Raw genomic sequence first — 19,688 nt, forward strand, 5'->3', positions numbered from 1 at the left:
GGGGCCAGGCCGGGAGCAGAGAGAAAGGGGCCGTGGCCTCATTTCCATGCGGAGGCCCCAGGCCCTGTGCTATCCCCACCCTATTGTGCGCCTGGGCGGGCTGACAATCGAGGTCTTTGTGGTCGGTTGCTGCACTCCCACCCTCAGCGCTCAGGCAGGCGGGGTCCCTGCCACCCGCTACAAAGGGTGAGGAGGAGCAAGACCAGGAGAGGCCCTCCCTCTCCCCACCAGGCACGGGGCCCCACGACTGGCCTCGTCCAGACCCAAGCCCAGGGGACAGGTGTGGAGGGAGCACCTGCAGATGGAGTCTCCCTGCTCCCTGCACCTTGCCTCTGAGTTTGTGCGTGGGGCCAGTTGCCATGTTTGCACTCCCACCCCCTAGTCCTGGGGATCAAGCTGCCTGGCAGTGTCCCTGGAGCTCCTGGGGGTGGAAGAGGGCCCCTGCTAGGTGGGATGGGCCTTCGGGGGCCCCTGCTCCTCATGGCACCAAGCATCTGCCCACCTCTGGAGGTTAAGCCTGGCGTGGGAGGAATGGGAGGCCCCCTTACCCACAGGGGAGATGTTTGGGGTCACAGTCACAGATGCTGGGTGGGAGGGGGACCCAGGCCTTGCTGCAGAGCCAGACAGAAGTCTCCGCCATCCCTGGGTGAGGCACTGGGTGGGGGCCTCTGAGCTCCTTTGACCACCCCAGCTGGAACTGGGAAGCTGTGGGCCACTGGGAGGCAAGGGTCCCCACCCCCTCTGCCACCCACATCTGTACTGTGGGCACCTCCATCTGGCCTTCCACATCCTCCCCACCTCCGCATGCTGCAGGGGCTGGGTGGGGGGTGGTCTGCAGCAGACTCCAAAGGAGGCGAGGGTCAAGGGTCAAGAGGTGGTGAGCCAGCTGTTCCCAGATGTGGGCCGCGGCCTTTCCTCTTTCTGGAGGAATGACAGGCCTCCCGCAGAGGAGGAGCGGGTGGTGACGAGGGAGAAGGAGCGGAAAGGGAGGGGTTCTCCACGGGTTCTGTTGATTTGTTTAATCCCACGCTATTCGGAGGCTTTCACGGATGGCGGACAAGAGGGAGGGGGAGGGGGTGGGGGTCTCGGCCCGTGTTTCCTCCCCTCCTCCCGCTCCCGCCCCCGCCGGAGCCACCTGACCCGTAGCGAAGTTGCCGGCCCCGCTGCGCGCCGGCCTTTGTGCGCACCGAGGCGGCCGCCGGGAACCGGGAGCCCGAGCTGGCCCGGCAGCGCCGCCGCCCCCACCTTCGCGCCCCTTTTCACTCCCCCACTGTCCCCGGAGCTGGCAAATAAACAAATCCACAAACAAATTATCCGTGTGCTCCGGAGAGGCGGCGGCGTGGGCGGCGGCGGAGAGAAGGCGCCGGGCAAGGCGAGACTAGGCCCCCGCGGAGCGGGGGAAGCACAGACCCCAGCCCGGGCCCGGCAGCAGTAAGTTGACTTTTATGAAACCTACGAAGCTCGCGGGGCCACCGAAAAGGTCCCCACCGGAGCGGACTCTGCGGGGCGGGCGGGGCAGAGGCTGCAGGCGGGCTCCCCTTCCCGCGCGGCTCCTACCGGCCGGCTCCGCCCCCAAGCCCTGGACGGCCCTTCCCCCAGCCCGCCTGGCTGGGGGCCGCTGCACACCGGGGGTGGAAGTGGGGAGCCGGGGACCCCGATCGCTACTCAGGACTCCAAGAGGGGCCGGGTTCTTCTAGGGATGTACAAAAATCTAGGGTGACCCAAGGGAAGGGGGCGACCCCCAGCCTTCCACCTTACCCACCCCGGCCTGCCAGAGAGCCCTCCGCCAAAGGTAAAGTGGGAAGGACGAAGGTGCTCCGCCAGGTGAGGGAACAGGTCTGCCAGGGGCGGCGATCCACCCTGCCCCAGGTGGAGCCGGTCCTGTACGGAAAAGAGACCCAAAGAAAGATTTGGGGTCCCCGAAGCCAAGGTACCGATGGGGGGTGCTAAGGAGTCTTTCCCCTTAGAATGGGAACAAGCTCCAAGGAGCTGGAATCCCGAGGCGTCCTGGACCCGTCCAGGAAGCTAAGGGTGGGGGACGGGAGGGGAGGGGGCCGGGAGCCGGCCTCCCTGGCCCCAACCCTTGGTGAGAAGAGGGCTGGGGGTATAAAGTCCGAAAGTGAGGCGGAGGTTTCAGGGTTCCGTTTCAACACCATGGACAGCGGATGCCTCAGACTGGGAGCCTAGGACCGCCCTGGGGACTGCCCCCGTTTCATTAGGGTGAGGGTCCGATTCCGACCACTGGAGGCCAAGGGCAACTGTCTCCAATGAAGCGGGGCTGCTGCAGCCTGGCCTCCCCAGCCCTCCAGCCCCTCCAGCGTCCGGCTTGCACCTGCTGAGGCTGCCGGCACCCGCAGGCTTGGGGCAGCTTCCAGAGCTTTGCGCTTGGAACAGAAGGTTCCCCTTGGGCTGTGGAGGAGTAGAGGGCTTGTGCGTGACCTGTGAGAAAGAAAGATTGTCCCTGACACTTGCGAAGGGCGAGGAATTGCGGCTGGGAAGGGTCAGGTTGAAGCCGCACCAAAGGGGGAGGGGCGTCCTGATGGTTGAGGACCGGCGGAGTCGGTGCGGGCAGAACCAACCCGAGTTCCTGCCGCCCTTCCTAACCGGCTGTCCATGGGCTGGGCAGTGCTGGAGAGGGTGGAAAAGGAAGGAAGCAGGACCTGCTCCCAGGGAGGCCCAGGCTCTGCTCCGAGGGCAGATGGCGCAGGGGCTGGGTTGGCCCTAGGAGGAAGGAGATGGGGACAGAGGCCTGCCGGCCGCGCCGGCCTGCGCTCCTTGCAGTCTAAACAAAGGCCAGCGGGGGAGGCTCCGGACGGTGAGGCTTGGGGAAGCCACTGATCCCTGGCCCTAGAGGGCCAGATCGGGGGCGCCCCAAGGACCCTATCGAGCTGGCAGTGACTGCAGTCGGGCCGTGGAGTGTCGCCTGTGATTCCGTGGTCCCTACGGGCAAGAGCTCCCATCCCGGTCTGAAACTGTGAGAACCGCAAGCTCCGATGGGGGCGGGGAAGGACGACCTTTAATTCCCACCCCACTGTACGGAGCCCAGCAGGGCCATCCGCAGGAGGCCGGCGGGACCCTTGCCTTTCTCAGGACTGAGAGGCTTGGAGGACCGCGGTGTGAGCTGCGCGGCAGAGTGCGTTCTGCAGGCGCCAGACAGGAGACGCGAACCCGCGGTCAGGGCCCGAGTGCGGGTGCGTGTCTGCGGGTGCCGCTGGGCTGCGTGCCGGCGAGGCGTGCGCGTGGCGAGGCGTGCGCGTGGCGGGGTGTGGCTAGAGGTGTCAATGTGCAGCTGGAGGGGCTGCGCGCGTGGGTGCAGGAGGGCCATGTGAGGGGCTGGAGTGTGTGGGAGACAGGCGTTTCCTTGGGTCTCCGTGTGGCCGCCGGGCGCAGGGCACGGTCGAGGGCGCTCGATGGCTGAGTCCGCGTGAGCCGAGGAGCGCGCGGGGCGGGACGCGGTGCGAATGCGCGGGAGGCACGAGGCGCGCAGTGCGTGTGTGCGCGTGTGCGCGGCGCGCGTGCCCCGCAGTTCTCAAGGACACCTCGGGGAGGCAGCGGCGGGGCCGGTGTCCGGGTGACGTCACCGCGCGCCCCAGTGATAATCGGCCGGTGCCGGAGCGGAGCGCGGATACGCGCGGAGGCAACGGCGACGGCGGCGGCGGCGGCGGGCGCGGGGACAGTTGCATCGGGGCCGGGCCGGGCTAGCAGGAGCTGGGCGCCTGCAGCGTGGACCCCGTGGACACTCGGCTCGCAGCCGGCCTGCGGCGCTCGGGGACTTGCCTGGCTCCCTTCTCGGGGTTCCCGCGCCCTTCTCCGCCCAGGGCAGCAGCGCGCGGGGCCCCCGGGAGCCGAAGAGCAGGCGGGAACTGGCGGCGGCGCGGGAGGCGCAGGGAGCGGAGGCGGCAGCAGCGGCTCCCGCCGGGACTGGTAATTACGCTCGGGGCCGGGCCGGGGCGAGCCGGGCAAGCGGCCTCTCTGGGTCTCCCCGTCTTTCTCTCCACGAACAGCTCGAGCGCCTTCTCGCGGGCCCGCTGCGCGCGGAGAGGACGAGCTCGCTGGGTTGTAAAAAGAGACGAGTTTTCATCTTTGAGCATCGAGATTCGTTCTTTTAACCGCATTCGGTGCGCGCTCCTGGGTCGGCACGGGCAGGGCGACGGCAGGGGAAGGCAGCTGCGGAGGAGCTCGCGCCGCCCAGTCGGAGCGGTTCTGCGCCCCTCGGAGCCCCGCGGGAGGCGGCCGGGTGCGCACGCGCTCACCACCCCCACCCCCGGAATCCGTCTTCGCGATTCCCGGGCGCCCCAGCTCCAGGAACGCCCGGAGGGACGCACTTGGGGGCCCACTCTCTGCCGCGGAAAGGGGAGAAGTGTGGGCTCCTCCGAGTCGGGGGCGGACTGGGACAGCACAGTCGGCTGAGCGCAGCGCCCCCGCCCTGCCCGCCACGCGGCGAAGACGCCTGAGCGTTCGCGCCCCTCGGGCGAGGACCCCACGCAAGCCCGAGCCGGTCCCGACCCTGGCCCCGACGCTCGCCGCCCGCCCCAGCCCTGAGGGCCCCTCTGCGTGTTCACAGCGGACCTTGATTTAATGTCTATACAATTAAGGCACGCGGTGAATGCCAAGAGAGGCGCCTCCGCCGCTCCTTTCTCATGGAAATGGCCCGCGAGCCCGTCCGGCCCAGCGCCCCTCCCGCGGGAGGAAGGCGAGCCCGGCCCCCGGCGGCCATTCGCGCCGCGGACAAATCCGGCGAACAATGCGCCCGCCCAGAGTGCGGCCCAGCTGCCGGGCCGGGGATCTGGCCGCGGGACACAAAGGGGCCCGCACGCCTCTGGCGTCGCGGGGCGGGTGGGGGCGGCCGAGGGCGGCCGAGGGGGGAGCCTGCGGCCGGGGCCAGGCTGCGGCCAGCCGGCCCCCGGCCACGTGTGTCCGCAGCGCGGAGCGCCCAGGCGCCCGCAGAGGGCGGCGGGGCCCGGGAGACAAAGGGAGGGTCCACGGGGAGCGGCGGGCGGGTGCGTGGGGCGGCGGGCTAGGGTGCGGCGCTGTCCGCGGTGCTGGCGGCGGGGCGGCCCCCGCGGGACGGGAGGGCGGCCAAGTGCGGCCCTCGCCCCCACAGCGGGCGCCCTGGACAGTTGCCACGGCAACGTGGGAGGAGGTGGGGCAGGGTCTGAGGTCACCGCTAAGTCTGCCCTTCCTCGGGCCGCTGCGCCGCGGGGCGGGGCGGAGGCGGCGCTCGCTGTGGCCCCAGAGCAGCCCCCGCAGCCCAGGACCAGGCTTGCATGGGGACGGGGGTCTGCGTCCGCGTCCAGGGTCCAAACGAGGGCGGTGGACACGCCGGACCGCATCCCGCCCCCAAAGCCGGCTCTGGGCTGTGCAGGACCAGGCACGTGAGACTCCGCAGCCCAGGGAGAAAATGACAAATCCCTCCCCCGCCGCCATCTGCAGCCGCAGTGACACCCACTCGGGTTTGCTGCAGGGGTTTTTTTTCTGTCCCCGGAAGCCAGCGCCACCTGCTGACGCCCGGCACCGCCTCTGCGCCGCCTCCCCCGCGCCCATCCCAGGCCCCGGCTGGGCTGTGATGCCCCGGTAACAGTCAGAGGACGACCCCCTCCCCAAAAGCCCCCTTCCCCTGGGGCGAGTGCCAGACCTGGCTTTGCAGCTTTGCCTCTTTCCTCTTAACCAGGTAGAGGCTGAGCCTCTCCTCCCCGGCTTCAATCCGAGGCAGGAGTCTGAGTCACCTGAAGTTCTCCCAGCTCCAGGCCCAAGGCAGGGAGCAGAAGATCAGGATAAAAGGAACCATTTGAGTTTCAGGCAGTGGCATCTCCACCCCCACCACCGCCGCTGCAGGGCCACAAAGGGAACCTGCCTCTGCGGCTGTCCTCAGCACAGACCTCCAGCCCCTCCACCCAAGTCGCCTGCTGCAGACACAAGCAGGAGCCACTGGTGCCTCCATCTTCCCACCCCCACCCCAGTCAGCCAGGCAGAGTCAGAACACGGTCCACCAGTCTCCTCAGGGGCAGGTTCCCCCTGGAGGGCACAGAAGTGGCATAGGCAGCCCCAGCAAGCCCCGGCCTGACCACAACACTGACCCCGGGGCTTGGCGTCCCCTTCTTCCTTCCTCCCGCTGTGAGGGGACAGGCAGCATCCCCCAGGGGCACTTCTGGTCCTAGAGAAGGGGAAGGGGCCCCAGGATCGTTCCAGGACAACACCAAAGGGACTGGTGGGAGTGGGGTGTTCCTTCGGGGTACAAGATGTGGCCCTAGCCTAGCTGGAGCTTCCTCTTGGAGCTCTGACCTCCAGCCTGGCCCTTCCCTCGGAGGGAAGGTGGCCCCTGGCTGCTCCCTCCTCTGGGGCCAGAGATGGGGGCTGGGGCTTTGTTCTTGTACCACTTTCCTTCCTGGGGAGGGGACTTGGCTCCTAGCCAGAATGGACCTTCCATGTCAGTAGCCTGGGGAGGGGGACACTTGAGAGCTGGTGGGAGCGCATGGGCAAACTGCCCTTGGCACTGTCCCTAGACAGTCAGTCTCTGTGGGGTCTCCTAGGAAGAGCTTCCTGGACTCTGTCACGGTCAGGGAGCTACCTCTCCTGATGCCTGCCCCCAGTGGTGCACCTGGGCCCCAGCCCCCAGGGCAGACTTGTGGCTTCTGGGCTGGAGCTCAGGGGGTCACAGGAAGGTGGGCAGCCCAGTAGGTATGGGGCACACGGGGGGAAGCTCACTGCGAAGGAGCTGCAGAGCTGAGTGCGCACCTTCTTGGGCCAGGCCTTACCATAGCTGTAGCACCGTCTGCCGCAGTGCGGGGAGGGCCCCATGTGCCACAGGGTCCACTCGGACCTGCAGCAGCTGAGCTGCTGGCCTCAGTGAGAGGCCCTTGGGGCAGGGGCCACCATCACCATGCTTTGCAGCCAACATGGACTGCCCTGCATGTCCAGCTCAGCCTCTCCTCCTCCTGCTCACACCCGCAGCCACAGTCACAGACATGCTCACACAGTCTCACCTCCCACGCACACACAGACACTGCCCGCCTCCACTCAGGAAGAGCTGGGCACATACCCCCAACTGAATCCTCAGCACCCAGCCTGCATTGGGTCGGCTGCCAGGCAGTGGTCCTGGTGGACAGCAAACTTGAGCCAAGGGCTTGGGACACCCTCTGACCAGACCATGACACCCAGCAAGGCCAGCTCAGGGCTATCCAGCAGGGCCCTCCCCAGTGTGGGACCAGAGGAAGACATCCCTTCCCTGACCCAAAGATTTTTATTCTGAATAAAACCTAATAAAGCTGCTGAGGCTGAAGCCACAGGCCCCACAGTCCCCTCTGAAATTCCTCCAAATCCCCCGGTCCACGAGCAGCAGAGGTGGGAGGAGCTGCAGGGGCCAGGCCACAATCAGCAGGGGCCAGGGCAGCCAGTCCCTCTATTCTGCAGCCCCTGGTCTCCACCTTGATCTCACCTCCAGGTAGGGCTCCCTGTGTGGCCATTGGCCAGGAGCCCCCACCCTCCTTCCCCTCAAGTCCAAGCCCCCTGGCAGGTCTCTGGCCAGGGCAGAGATTAGGAGCTGGCTCTCAGCCTCCCTGCCCCTGGCTGCCTCCTGGCCGTGCCCATAAGCCGGGCTCCTGGCAGTGATGACCCCAGAGTTCAGACCCTCACAGCCCAGCCTTCACCCCTGGTGCCCAGACCAGCTGCTATTTTGGGGCTGTGGGTGCCAGGAACAGTTGGCAGCTGGGTGGGGTGGGGCATAGGGGATAATGTTTGGGAATGAATTAAAAACTAAAAAATGAAATGATACAGGGTGACTCCCTCCAGCTTATTAGAGGGATGGAGAGGCCTTGCCCGACAGTGAGAGCACAGAGCAGAGAAGTCTGCCTCTGCTTGGTGACCCTGTCCCGAGGTGCCAGGAAGGTAGCAGGGTCTTCTCAAGTCACCGCTAGCCAGGGACATGGGCCAGAGGCAGCCCTGGAATCCAGCAGGCTTGGCATTGGTCCTGGGACCACTCATGACATGCACGTGCACACACAGACACCCTGGAGCCTTATGTCCTGTGGCCCCCAGGGCTGCCACAGAGCCAGAAAGCAGGACCCTCCCTCACGGGCACCGCCAGAAAGCAGGACCCTCCCTCACGGGCACCGCCAGAAAGCAGGACCCTCCCTCACATGCACCGCCAGAAAGCAGGACCCTCCCTCACATGCACCACCAGAAAGCAGGACCCTCCCTCAAATGCATCGCCATAGCCACACTCCTCCACCCTGGACTCTGGCCTGGCCTGACGGAGGCTGCTGGTTATTCACCAGATGGAGGCCCAGGCTCCATGTCTTCAGCCACCGTGCCCTGCCCCAGCATCAAGTTCCCTCCGCACTCTATTTCCTCCTTGGTAGAGGGGAAAAATAAAGCCAGTGTCTCCCACGGTTGCCTCGGGGTAACCGGTGGCAACACCATGAATGAGATCAAGAAGAGGCTCTCCAGGGGAAGCTGAGGCCAGGGTGGGGCCCAGCCCGGGGCTGGGGATGTGTTTCAGGGGGAGCACGGCCAGGCACCCGCCCCCCTCCCCCCGCCCCTCCTTGCCATCCTCATCCCTGCAGGGCTGAGACACGCAGGTCATTCCGGCTCCTTTTCTGGAACTCAGCATCAGCCAAGCCATGATCGCCACAGAGATGGCCACACCCCTCCTCTTCTCAGCTTTGCAACCCCCACCCCAGCTGGCCAGGCCAGATCCCAGAAGGCAGCCCTCACCACCCAGAAGACTCACAGCAGGAATACAGGGATACAGGGGCGGAAATAGGCCCTAGTGCTGGGGAACAGGACTGTTTCAGGGGAGACTCCCCCACCACAAGCCATTTCCACAGATGCTCTGATGGAGCCATGGGGTTGGGGGCCAGCTCAAAGCCGAGGGCAGCTGAGCCCCCTCCTCAGGGCCATGAGTGGTAAAACTGAGCCAGATGGAAACATACAGCCCCTCTGCATCCTCAGCAGATCTCAGCAGACCTGGTCGGGTTGCTCCTGAGATGCTGTGGCCTCTGCAGCTCCTTCATTCCCTGGCTCCCCAGCCCCGAGTCACTGCCAGCTGGGAACATGGGCCAGAGGCGCCCCAGAATCCAGTGGGCCGGGCATTCCAGCCTGGTCCGGGGGCCGCTCTGCCACACAAGTTTATGCCACCACCTCTGAACACTTGGGAGGCATGTGGGCTGGGCTAGGGCACAGCCACTCTGGACCCTCCTGCTGAGAGCCCCAGCTGAGACACAGACCCTTGGCCAACCCCAGGAATGTCCAGCCCTGTGAGCAGGATCTGAGCCCCACACGAACAAACGACCAAGACCAGGCTGGGGACCAGGCTTCCAGGCCCAGGCTGCACCCAGTCCACACACACAGCACATAGGGTCAGTGCTCCATAGTGGGCACGTCTCTGCAGGGACAGGATGGAGATGTCCACGCAGCACACAGACCAAGCTGAGGTAAAGTCTCAAAGTACAACCATGTGGCACACAACCATCCACCTAGGGGCACAGGCAGAACTCCCCAACACACCTCTTGGCTACCTCGGTATGTGTGGCCAGGCCCTCCTGCAGGTGCCTGTACTTACCACGTGAGGGCGCCCTGGAGCTGCCACAGGATCCTGCACCTGGACAGGAATGGGGAGACCCCTGGCAGAATCAGGCCCCAGAAGGACCTGGAGCATTGCACAGACACGAATGCCGTCTGCATGAGCAATGTGTAGAGGCAGGCCCCTCCCCACGGGGAGACTGCCCTTTGCCCCACACACCTCAGACCAGGGGAGGAGGGACACACGGGGGCCCTTGCACATCAGGATGCTCTTTGTTCATTCATTCGTTCATTCAACAGATATTTCTGAGCCCTTCCTAGGAATGGTGCCACAAGCACCACCAAGGTCCAGGTGGGCCTGCAGGGACAGGACCTCCATGGGTAGAGAGGGTAGTCTGGGCTCTGCCTGGAACCCACCTGGAACAGAGTCTGGAACAGAGCGGGAGCATCCTGGTCACAGTGGGTGGGAAGGCGGGGCCCCCTCAGCCATTGGTACAAGGACACAAGGGCATGTCTCAGACTCCTGGAGTCAAGACTTCACCGCTCTGTGCTTCCCTTCTGGAAGCTGGAGGGTAAGTTTAGACATGTTCGTTCAGTAAATGTCAGCGGTCATCATCACCATAATTACTGCCACCATCAGTACCATCACCACCATTATCATCAGTAACATCACCACCATCAACATAACCATTGCCACCATCATCATTGTTATCATCAGTAGCAGCAGTGGCAGGAGCACCATCACCATGGACCCTGCAGAGTGGGGCCATTTAAACTCCCTCTGGCTGGTCCTGTTTTCAGTTCTTTGAAGCAGTGGGGATGTGGGAGAGATGCAGATCCACTGAACTGTGGCCACCCAAAGGTCACTCCATAGACCCATATACTTCTAGGAGGGTGACTGCATGCTGAGGACACAGGAGGGGAAGCTACAGGGCCTCAGTGCCATATCAGCCTGGTGATGCTCAGGTCCCCGACTCCACATAAGGACAGCCCTCCTCTGGCCACAGAGGCCCTGGTCATCACCACCTAAGCAGCCCCTGAACCAGCTAACCTTGGACAGTCTCCAGTGTCCCTTCCCCACAAGTCTTCCCAAATGTCTAGAGAATACCCCTGTCTTGGCCCCCAAAAGGTATTTCCGTGACTTCACACCCAGAGAAGTGCAGAATCTGCTGGGGGCAGGTAGTCCTGCTTAGAAGACATAGTGGCTACCCTGGGAGAGTGGCACCCCCTGTCAGAGCCCACCTGCCAAAAGGCTGGAGATGTCCCAAGAGCCTAAGGACCAAACAGCCCACAGAAAAGCCCATTTCCAGCCAAACCCCACCTTTCCTCATGTGCAGACCCCCCAAGAATTACAGACCTGAGGAGGTGCTGTGGCTTGCACCCAGACAGAGCAGAAGGCGGATCCTTCCCAAGGGGCTCCTGTTTATCTGGGACCATTATCATCTTTACATTAGTTTTACACGGCCCATGTGTGTGCACCTGTGTGTGGCTGTATGCATATGTGCATGTGTGTATTCATTTGTGTGCGTGTGTGCGTGCATGCCTGGGGATGCCTGTGGGCATATGGTCATGCGTGTCAGTGTGTGCCCATGGTAGGGCATATGATCATGTGTGTTTGTGCATTCCTATGGTAAGGCACATGATCGTGTGTGTCGGTGCACGTCCATGGTAGGGCACATGATCACGTGTGTCGGTGTGTGCCCATGTTAGGGCATATGATCGCGTGTGTCAGTGTGTGTCCATGGTAGGGCACATGATCACACATGTTCGGTGCATGCCCATTTTAGGGCATATGACCATGCATGTCTGTGCGTCCCCATGTTAGGGCATATGATCACACGTGTCTATGCCTGCTCATGTTAGGGCATATAATCACGTGTGTCAGTGTGTGCCCATGGTAGGGCATATGATCACGTGTCTGTGTATCCCCATGGAAGGACACATGGTCATACATGTCGGTGCATCCCCATGTTAGGGCACATGATCACGTGTGTCGGTGTGTGCCCATGGTAGGGCATATGATCACGTGTGTCGGTGTGTGCCCGTTATGGCATATGATCATGTGTGTCAGTGTGTGTCCATGGTAGGGCATATGATCATGTGTGTCTGTGCATTCCTATGGTAAGGCACATGATCGTGTGTGTCGGTGCGTGTCCATGGTAGGGCACACGATCACGTGTGTCAGTGTGTGCCCATGTTAGGGCATGTGATCACACGTATCAGTGCGTGCCCATGGTAGGGCATATGATCGCGTGTGTCAGTGTGTGTCCATGGTAGGGCACATGATCACACATGTTCGGCACATGCCCATTTTAGGGCATATGACCATGCATGTCTATGCGTCCCCATGTTAGGGCATATGATCACACGTGTCTATGCCTGCTCATGTTAGGGCATATGATCACGTGTGTCGGTGTGTGCCTATGGTAGGCACATGATCAAGCGTGTCGGCATGTGCCCATGGTAGGGCATATGATCATGTGTCTGTGTATCCCCATGGAAGGACACATGCTCATACATGTCGGTGCATCCCCATGTTAGGGCACATGATCACGTGTGTCGGTGCGTGCCCACGGTAGGGCATATGATCACGCATATCTGTACGTGCCCATGTTAGGGCATATGATCACACGTGTCTATGCCTGCTCATGTTAGGGCATATAATCACATGTGTCGGTGTGTGCCCATGGAAGGACACATGATCATACATGTCGGTGCATCCCCATGTTAGGGCACATGATCACGTGTGTCAGTGCACGCCCATGTTAGGGCATATGATCACACGTGTCTGTGTGCCCATGACAGGCATGTGTGTTGTATGCACGTGTTTGTTGTATGTTCTCTGTACATGTGTGCATGTATGTGCCTGTGTGCACCCAGATGCTCATGCATGTATGTGTGCTTTTGTGTGCACCTGTGCATTTGTGTGTGGGGGAGTGCTGAGGTACAGAGAGCAGCTCCAAGGTAGGAAAGAACCACCCTGGGCCCTCCGGACTCCCAGAATGCTCAGGCCCTCCTGCCTGGCAGTCTTTGCCCATGAGGATGTTCCGGCTGGAAGGCTCTTCTCATGCTCCCACATCCCTTTCCCAACTCATCCTTCAGGTCCCAACTTGGTCTGTCTCAGAGACCACCATGTGCGTCAAAGCTCTGGCACTCCTGGGGCATGGGCTCCCCTTGGCCTCCACTTCCCAAAGCCGCCCCACTCTCAAGTCCCTCACCAGCCACTAGGGGTGGTGACTGGCAAGGAGAGGCCAGACAGGGATTAGTCACCGGGTGCGGCTAGTCCACCTCCTTCTCCAACCAGGATCCACCCTCCCAGGCCAGGCAGGTCCTCCTCCACCCCATTCTGACATCTGCTTGGTGGCATCCCTCCCCAGATAGCAGCCTGAGGACCTGTGGAGGGGGCAAGAGCAGAGCAGAGCAGGCTCTACACTGCCTCATGCAGGGACCCCCGGCTGAGTGTGGCCCAGAGTGGTCAGCCCCCAACATCAGCTGCTCCCCATATGGCCCTGGGGCCAAGACACCCTCAGGGATGTCTTCCATCCCAGGAAGGCCAGGTGGGACAATTTGCCTTCCGGGCAACACACATTCCTGCCTCCCAGTACCCTGTGTCCCCTGGGCCTCCACCCACTGTGTAGCACAAGCATGTGTCAACAGAACCCTGTGGCCAGGCCCCTGAGTGTCAGGAAGTCCCCTAGAAGACTGAGCTGCCTGCCCCTGGCTCACAGAGAGGTGGGGGGCAAATGGGGGTCTGCTTGGAGCAGGGCAGTGGCAGAGAGAAGGACCAGCCCCGAGGGGCTTGGGCATGGCAGGGATTGGGCCTGCCCTCCAGGTCTCTCTGGACACTCTTACCCCAGCCCCTGGCCTCCTCAATGCCACACTTAACCAAGTCCCCCTCAGACCACAACCCCATGCCCTCGCCTGCTCCTGACCCTCAGACACAGGTGCCCAGCTGCCAATGCTGTTCCCGCCTCCTGAACCCCAAAGTCCCCTCACCTCCTGCCCTGCCCTGACTTGATGTGGCCTCACATCCCAGCCTCTGCTCTCTCTCCCGTGCTGTGCCTGCCCCACCCCCACCTCCTGCACCCCAAAGTCCTCTCACCTCCTGCCCTGATGTAGGCTCACATCCCAGCCTCTGCAGTCTCTCCAGTGCTGTGTCTGCCATCACCCTGCCACCTGCCTCCCCGCCTGTTGGACAACAAGCAACTGTGCTTGTTGGGGAGACTGCAGACTTCAGGCCCCACCCCAGGGCTCAGCAGCCTCCAGCCTGGCCCTCACACACCCCCACCTCCTTGGGAAAGGCTCCAGGACACATACGGTCCACACCAGCCTCCTCCTCTGAGCTGCCGTGGCCAGCCGTCCTTGGCCTCAGATCATGTTCTGTCAGTCCTGGTCCCCTGGCCCCACTCCCTTGAAGGCAGCCAGTGACCAGAGCCCCAGAAGGTTCAGTTGCAGGTTCCAAGTGAATTTAGGGATGGGGAGACTGGGGAGGCCCTGCTGGAGCTGCATAAAGGCACTTTCAGTGACTGGGGGCCTCCATGCTGGCCATGGTGCTGCCTGTACTTCATGCAGCCCAGGGTCCTGCACTCTGGGCCCTTTCCTGGGGGAGGAAAGAAACCCAGACATCAGCCCTGGGGAGGTGGAAGGACCCCAAAAGGGGCTGAGCCCCAGCCACTAGCCACTCACCGATCCACCGGTGAGCGGGGCTGGAAATCGGCCTCCGGCGGGATCGTCTCAGGCTCAGGCACGAAGCACAGGGGCCCTGTCGTAAGTGGAACCTCCATCTGCAGCAGGTGCTGGGTGTGGAGAAGCCAGTCTCCCGAGGGTGGGGCAGGGGGTACGGATGGCTGTCACTCAGAAGGACTTCCCACCCGGGATGGTCAGTCTCACAAACGACAAGGAGACTACCCTAGGCTTACACAGACCCCAGGGGGCAGGGCCCCTCAGTGCCTCTCAGGAAGGCAGAAGGGGCTGTGGTCCTGGCCCAGTTCCTGGGACTCCTGCCTCAGGCTGCAGGCACTCCCTTTACTCTGTGCACTTGCAGGGATGAAACCCACCTCCAACTCCACGGACTCTACTGCCCAGGGCTTCCCCAGCCACAAAGGAGAGCTTGTGCCTGGGACAGCGACCACCCCCAGGACAGAAACACCCCCTCCCGGGACTCCTCTAGGACCCACTGTCCCATGTGGGACCGTTCCACAGGTGCTACTCTTCCAGGGCGCAAATCCCAGCGTGCTCCTGGCCACACCCACATCCCAAAGCTCTCCGGCTGTCCCCAGGCCTGCAGTCTGCTGCACCGTGCTCCCACAGTGGGGCCCACTTCCCTGCTCCGCCAGGCTGCTCCACACAGCCCTGGCACCCCTTGCCCCCTGCCCACACCCCTCCAACCTCGTACACAGGCAGAGGCCCCGCCCAGCCTCCACCCAAGCACACCCCCGGCCTGGTCCACCTGCAAAACCAAACCTGCTGGACTCGTCATTTCCCCCAACCAGCCTGGCTTCTCCATGAACAACCCCCCCAAGTTGGGGACTGCTCTCCTTGGTGATGACAAGGGTCCCCCACTGGTGTGGCCCCTCCAGACCTTGCCACGACCTCAGTGACCCCCCCATTGTCTCCCCATCCTGCAACTTGGGATGTTGAGGCTTTTAAGTTGTCAAACTAGAACAACTCGAGATGAGGACCTCGGCAGGGGGGCTGGTGACAGGAGGATGGATCGCCAGGAGGATGATCGCCAGGAGGATGGATGGCCCAGAGCTCAGAAGAGGTGGTTGAGGGCCCAGCCCCAGGGGACCCAGCAGGAAGAAGCCAGACAACTTCTGAGGCTCCCACTGAACCCAGACCCCACCAGGCTGAGGGGCTTGCACCTGCGGAGGAGGAGGGAGGAGTCACCCTCTGCAGTAGGCAGGGGAGAGGGGTGGAGAGCAGTGGCTTTGCATCCTCCTGTTCTTGCCCAGGGCTCCCAAAACAAATGCCACCCCAGCACACAAACCACACAGGCACACAGACACACATGCACACACACCACACAGGCACACACCTGTGCACAACACACCACAGACATACCACACAGGCACACACACAGGCACACACGTGCACACACCACACGGGCACACACAGGCAAACACAATTGCACACACGTTCTCACACAGACACACACGGGCATACATACATGTATCTACACATATACACGCATGCACATAAGCATCACAGTACATGCACAAACATGCAATACACATGCAGACACATACACAGCAACCAAATGATCAAGGAAAGGGATCAAAATATTAACAATAAGTGAATCTGGGTGAAGAGTATTCTCTATACTATGCTTACTCTTGCAATTTTTCTGTATATTTGACTTTATTTCCAAAGTAAGTTTTTTAAAAAAGGAATGCCGTCACCTCACCAGCCACCACCCCATACCACCCCCTCGAATACACCTCAAGCAGCTCTTCTTGATGTTGGGACCAGAGTCCCTCTCTCACCGCTCCTCTGCAGGGATGCAGTGTCCCCAGCTAGTGAAGACAGACACCTGTGCCCCCACCCCAGCCCCAAGCTGCTGCTTGTCCCTGCACCTCCAGGTGCTCACGCCCAGCCCCAGGGTGCAGCAAGCTTCCCAAAATATAAGGGGGAGGGGGAAGGGAGGCCATCCCATCCCTGAGGCCTGGCAGAGCAAGTTGGCCTAGGGACCTGGTATTCTGAGGCCCCGTCAAGGCCACCCTCCTGCACACCTGTACCCAGACTGAGGAATGACCTCACCTGCCACCTGCCACCATCTTTGGAGAAGGCTAGGGCTACGTTAGCCCAGCTTGGACGAGCCCAAGCAGCAAACTGCACCTTGAGGTCTCCTCCCGTGATGAGAACATCACGGCAGAAGCCGGCACTTGGGGGAGGCAGGGGAACCATGACACCAGCTCTGGACGTCCCCTCCTGTCTGGGCTGGACACCGAACCCAGGCACTTCTCACCCCGAAGCACACCATTGCCCACCCCTGTGCCCTGGACCCTCCACAGGGCCAAGCGGGGGACGCTGTCCCAGAGAACCTGGAGCCTCCACAGGGCCAAGCGGGGGACGCTGTCCCAGAGAACCTGGAGCCTCCACAGGGCCAAGCGGGGGACGCTGTCCCAGAGAACCTGGACCCTCCACAGGGCCAAGCGGGGGATGCTGTTCCAGAGAAACAGCTGCTGCCCACCCACAGAAAGTCTCCTCTTCCAAGCCTGACAGTTCCACAGGACTGAGGCAACACTCTTCCTGGTCTCACAAGTGGTGGCCAAAGCCCAAAGCCGCCAAGGGCCTCATCACCTGTGCACCACCTACTCCACTCCCGTCCCCTCGGAAGCTGCCCTGGGGCTGCCCAGCCTGCAGGGGCCCAGCCCTGTCCGTGGCAGCATGTCAAGGCTGCCCTCGGCCCTGAAGGAGACCCTTCCTACCCCACAGCTTCTCCTGGCACCAAGCAGTGGCGCTGCGGTGTCCGAGCTCCCCGTCTGCCCATAGGAGCCCCGCCATCACCCACGGGAAGCAGCACTGCAATCTCCGAGCCTCACCCTCCGCAGGACACCAGGAGCGTCAGCATGCTGCCATCCACAGAGCCCCGTGACGGGCAAGTGCTGGGCTATGGCTTCCCATAGCTTAGGACCGACTTCGGGCGGCTCGCCCTCTCCACGGCCACAGAGCTCGGAGGAGTGCCCAAGAGGCGCCTCTGTCCAGGATACACTGGAGGCCCCTGTGCCCAAGCTCTGCCCAGACATTAGCAGTTGCTGGTCCTTCTTTGACTCTGGGTGGCCAGGACACTTGCGGGAGGGAGGGTGCTGGCCCCAAACAACCCCACAGGCCGTGTGGACTCCCCAAAGGCAAAGGGGCCCTGTGGCAGACCTGTCCTGAGATAGGAGCCTCAGCCCTGGGCCACAGCAGGAAGCCAGCAGGTCTGGTGGGCACCCCTGGAACTCACTGGAGTTGAGGCCTGGTCCTGATGCTCATTCCGACACCTGAAGCCTGATTAGCTTGGCAAGTCTAGCTCCCTCTTGCACGAGCTGAGCGACGCAGCAGGGCGAGGCCTGGCCCGTGCCCAACGCTGACGCTTCCGCCTGGTCCAGCTGGTGACAACGTATGAGACACCTAGGCCTGTGGCCGGCTGCCAGGAAAGGAGGGAACCTAGACTGCTGTTCACCATCTGAATACCCCGTGACTTACCAGCAAGCAGGCCACTCTCTCACACCTCCACCAGGGTCGCCTCCCAGATAATCCTTCTCAGTCATAAGGAGGAACTCTTGAGAAGAGACCTTCCAGGGAGGAGCCTGGTGGCTCGAGGAGCCTCTGAACCGGGCTTTTTTTTGCTGTTTCTTTTTTTTTTGAGACGGAGTTTCACTCTTGTTGCCCAGGCTGGAGTGCCATGGCGCGATCTCAGCTCACTGCAACCTCTGCCTCCCTGGTTCAAGAAATTCTCCTGCCTCAGCCTCCCAAGTAGCTGGGATTACAGGTATGCGTTACCACGCTCGGCTAATTTTTTTGTATTTTAGTAGAGACGGGGTTTCTCCATGTTGGTCAGGCTGGTCTCAAACTTCTGACCTCAGGTGATTCGCCCGCCTCGGCCTCCCAAAGTGCAGGGATTACAGGCGTGAGCCACCGCACACGGCTTTCTCTTCTTATCATTAAGCACTATGAAGGAATAAGCGAGCCTTTTTTTTTTTTTTTTTTTTTTTTGAGACAGAGCCTTGCTCTGTCACCCAGGTTGGAGTGCAGTGGCATGATCTCGGGTCACTGCAACCCCCGCCTCCCGGGTTGATGCCATTCTCCTGCCTCAGCCTCCCGAGTAGCTGGGACTACAGGTGCCTGCCAACACATCCGGCTAATTTTTTGTATTTTTAGTAGAGACGGGGTTTCACCGTGTTAGCCAGGATGGTCTCGATCTCCTGACCTCGTGATCTGCCCACCTTGGCCTCTCAAAGTGCTGGGATTACAGGCGTGACCCACCGCGCCCGGCTGAGGCGCTTCTTTTTTATTTTTTTTTTTGAGACGGAGTCTCGCTCTGTCACCCAGGCTGGAGTGCAGTGGCACGATCTCCGCTCACTGCAAGCTCCGCCTCCCGGGTTCACGCCATTCCCCTGCCTCAGCCTCCCGAGTAGCTGGGACTACAGGCGCCCACCACCACGCCCGGCTAAATTTTTGTATTTTTAGTAGAGAGGGGGTTTCACCATGTTAGCCAGGATGGTCTCAATCTCCTGACCTCGTGATCCGCCTGTCTTGGCCTCCCAAAGTGCTGGGATTACAAGCGTGAGCCACCGCGCCCGGCCCAGGCGCTTCTTTTAACTCCAGATGTGTGCACCCGAAAGTTAGCCACAGTTACGTGATGGAGCAACTCCAGGCTGCAGGGAAACGTGAGCGCCGGCCGTGGGGATGCGCGGGGAGGAGGGCGGGCCACCAATGCCTCGCCCACACTGTGTGGAGTCCACAGGATGGAGACGGATACTGAGGGAAGCCATGAGTTGTGGTCTGGTGACTGAAGTCACAGAGTAACGGGGCTGCCCCAAGCTGGGAGCCAAGGTGCGGACTCCTTTCTCACGGGCCTCCTATGGTGAGATCACAGCAGAAGCCGGCCTGGGCTTACAGCTGGTCTCCGGCCAGAGAGGGCATTTCTGTCCTACCAAAGACTGCAACAATTCTGGACAGCGAGGGGCCTGGAGGGACAGGATTCAGCCCAAAGTACCACAGGCCACACGTTTCCTCCATGTCATCCCCTAGCCTGGCCATTTAAGACCCAATGCAGACAGCAACCTGCAGAGCCAGCCTGTAACCCACCAGAAGCCCAGAGCACACTTGGGCTTGCACCTGAGCTACCACCCAGCCCCTCCAAGGAAACTTCTACAGGCAGAGGCACCTCAAACTGTAAATCCAGCTGAAGGCTTTTCCAATAGCTTGCAATTTATTATGACATTTAAGAATTCTAGCATAGGCCAGGTGCACGGGCTCACGCCTGTAATCCCAGTACTTTGGGAGGCCGAGACGGGTGGGTTACCTGAGGTCAGGAGTTCGAGATCAGCCTGGCCGACATGGTGAAACCCCATCTCTACTAAAAATACAAAAATTAGCCGGGTGTGGTGGCACGTGCCTGTAATCCCAGCTACCTGGGAGGCTAAGGCAGGAGAATCACTTGAAACCGGGAGGCGGAGGTT

General features: G+C 61.9%; 1 non-coding gene across 1 annotated transcript, besides 4 other annotated features; it reads left to right on the plus strand.

Moving 5' to 3' along the window:
- Nucleotides 312-886: an enhancer, noted in NCBI's record as "H3K27ac-H3K4me1 hESC enhancer chr20:61805624-61806198 (GRCh37/hg19 assembly coordinates)". NCBI's record gives its function as "activates a minimal SCP1, AML or CMV promoter by ChIP-STARR-seq in naive H9 embryonic stem cells {active_cell/tissue: H9 hESC(naive)}" and the evidence as "EXISTENCE:reporter gene assay evidence [ECO:0000049][PMID:30033119]".
- Nucleotides 3,787-4,747: an enhancer, noted in NCBI's record as "H3K4me1 hESC enhancer chr20:61809099-61810059 (GRCh37/hg19 assembly coordinates)". NCBI's record gives its function as "activates a minimal SCP1, AML or CMV promoter by ChIP-STARR-seq in naive H9 embryonic stem cells {active_cell/tissue: H9 hESC(naive)}" and the evidence as "EXISTENCE:reporter gene assay evidence [ECO:0000049][PMID:30033119]".
- Nucleotides 4,540-4,626, plus strand: MIR124-3 (microRNA 124-3). Its single transcript, NR_029670.1, has one exon. It is a non-coding gene; the product is annotated as a microRNA 124-3 (primary transcript).
- Nucleotides 5,035-5,324: a silencer, noted in NCBI's record as "silent region_13147". NCBI's record gives its function as "represses an Ori minimal core promoter by ATAC-STARR-seq in GM12878 lymphoblastoid cells {active_cell/tissue: GM12878}" and the evidence as "EXISTENCE:reporter gene assay evidence [ECO:0000049][PMID:35858748]".
- Nucleotides 12,999-13,499: an enhancer, noted in NCBI's record as "H3K4me1 hESC enhancer chr20:61818311-61818811 (GRCh37/hg19 assembly coordinates)". NCBI's record gives its function as "activates a minimal SCP1, AML or CMV promoter by ChIP-STARR-seq in naive H9 embryonic stem cells {active_cell/tissue: H9 hESC(naive)}" and the evidence as "EXISTENCE:reporter gene assay evidence [ECO:0000049][PMID:30033119]".

This window comes from Homo sapiens, chromosome 20 (genome assembly GCF_000001405.40).
Source record: "Homo sapiens chromosome 20, GRCh38.p14 Primary Assembly".
Classification (NCBI taxonomy): Eukaryota; Metazoa; Chordata; class Mammalia; order Primates; family Hominidae; genus Homo; species Homo sapiens.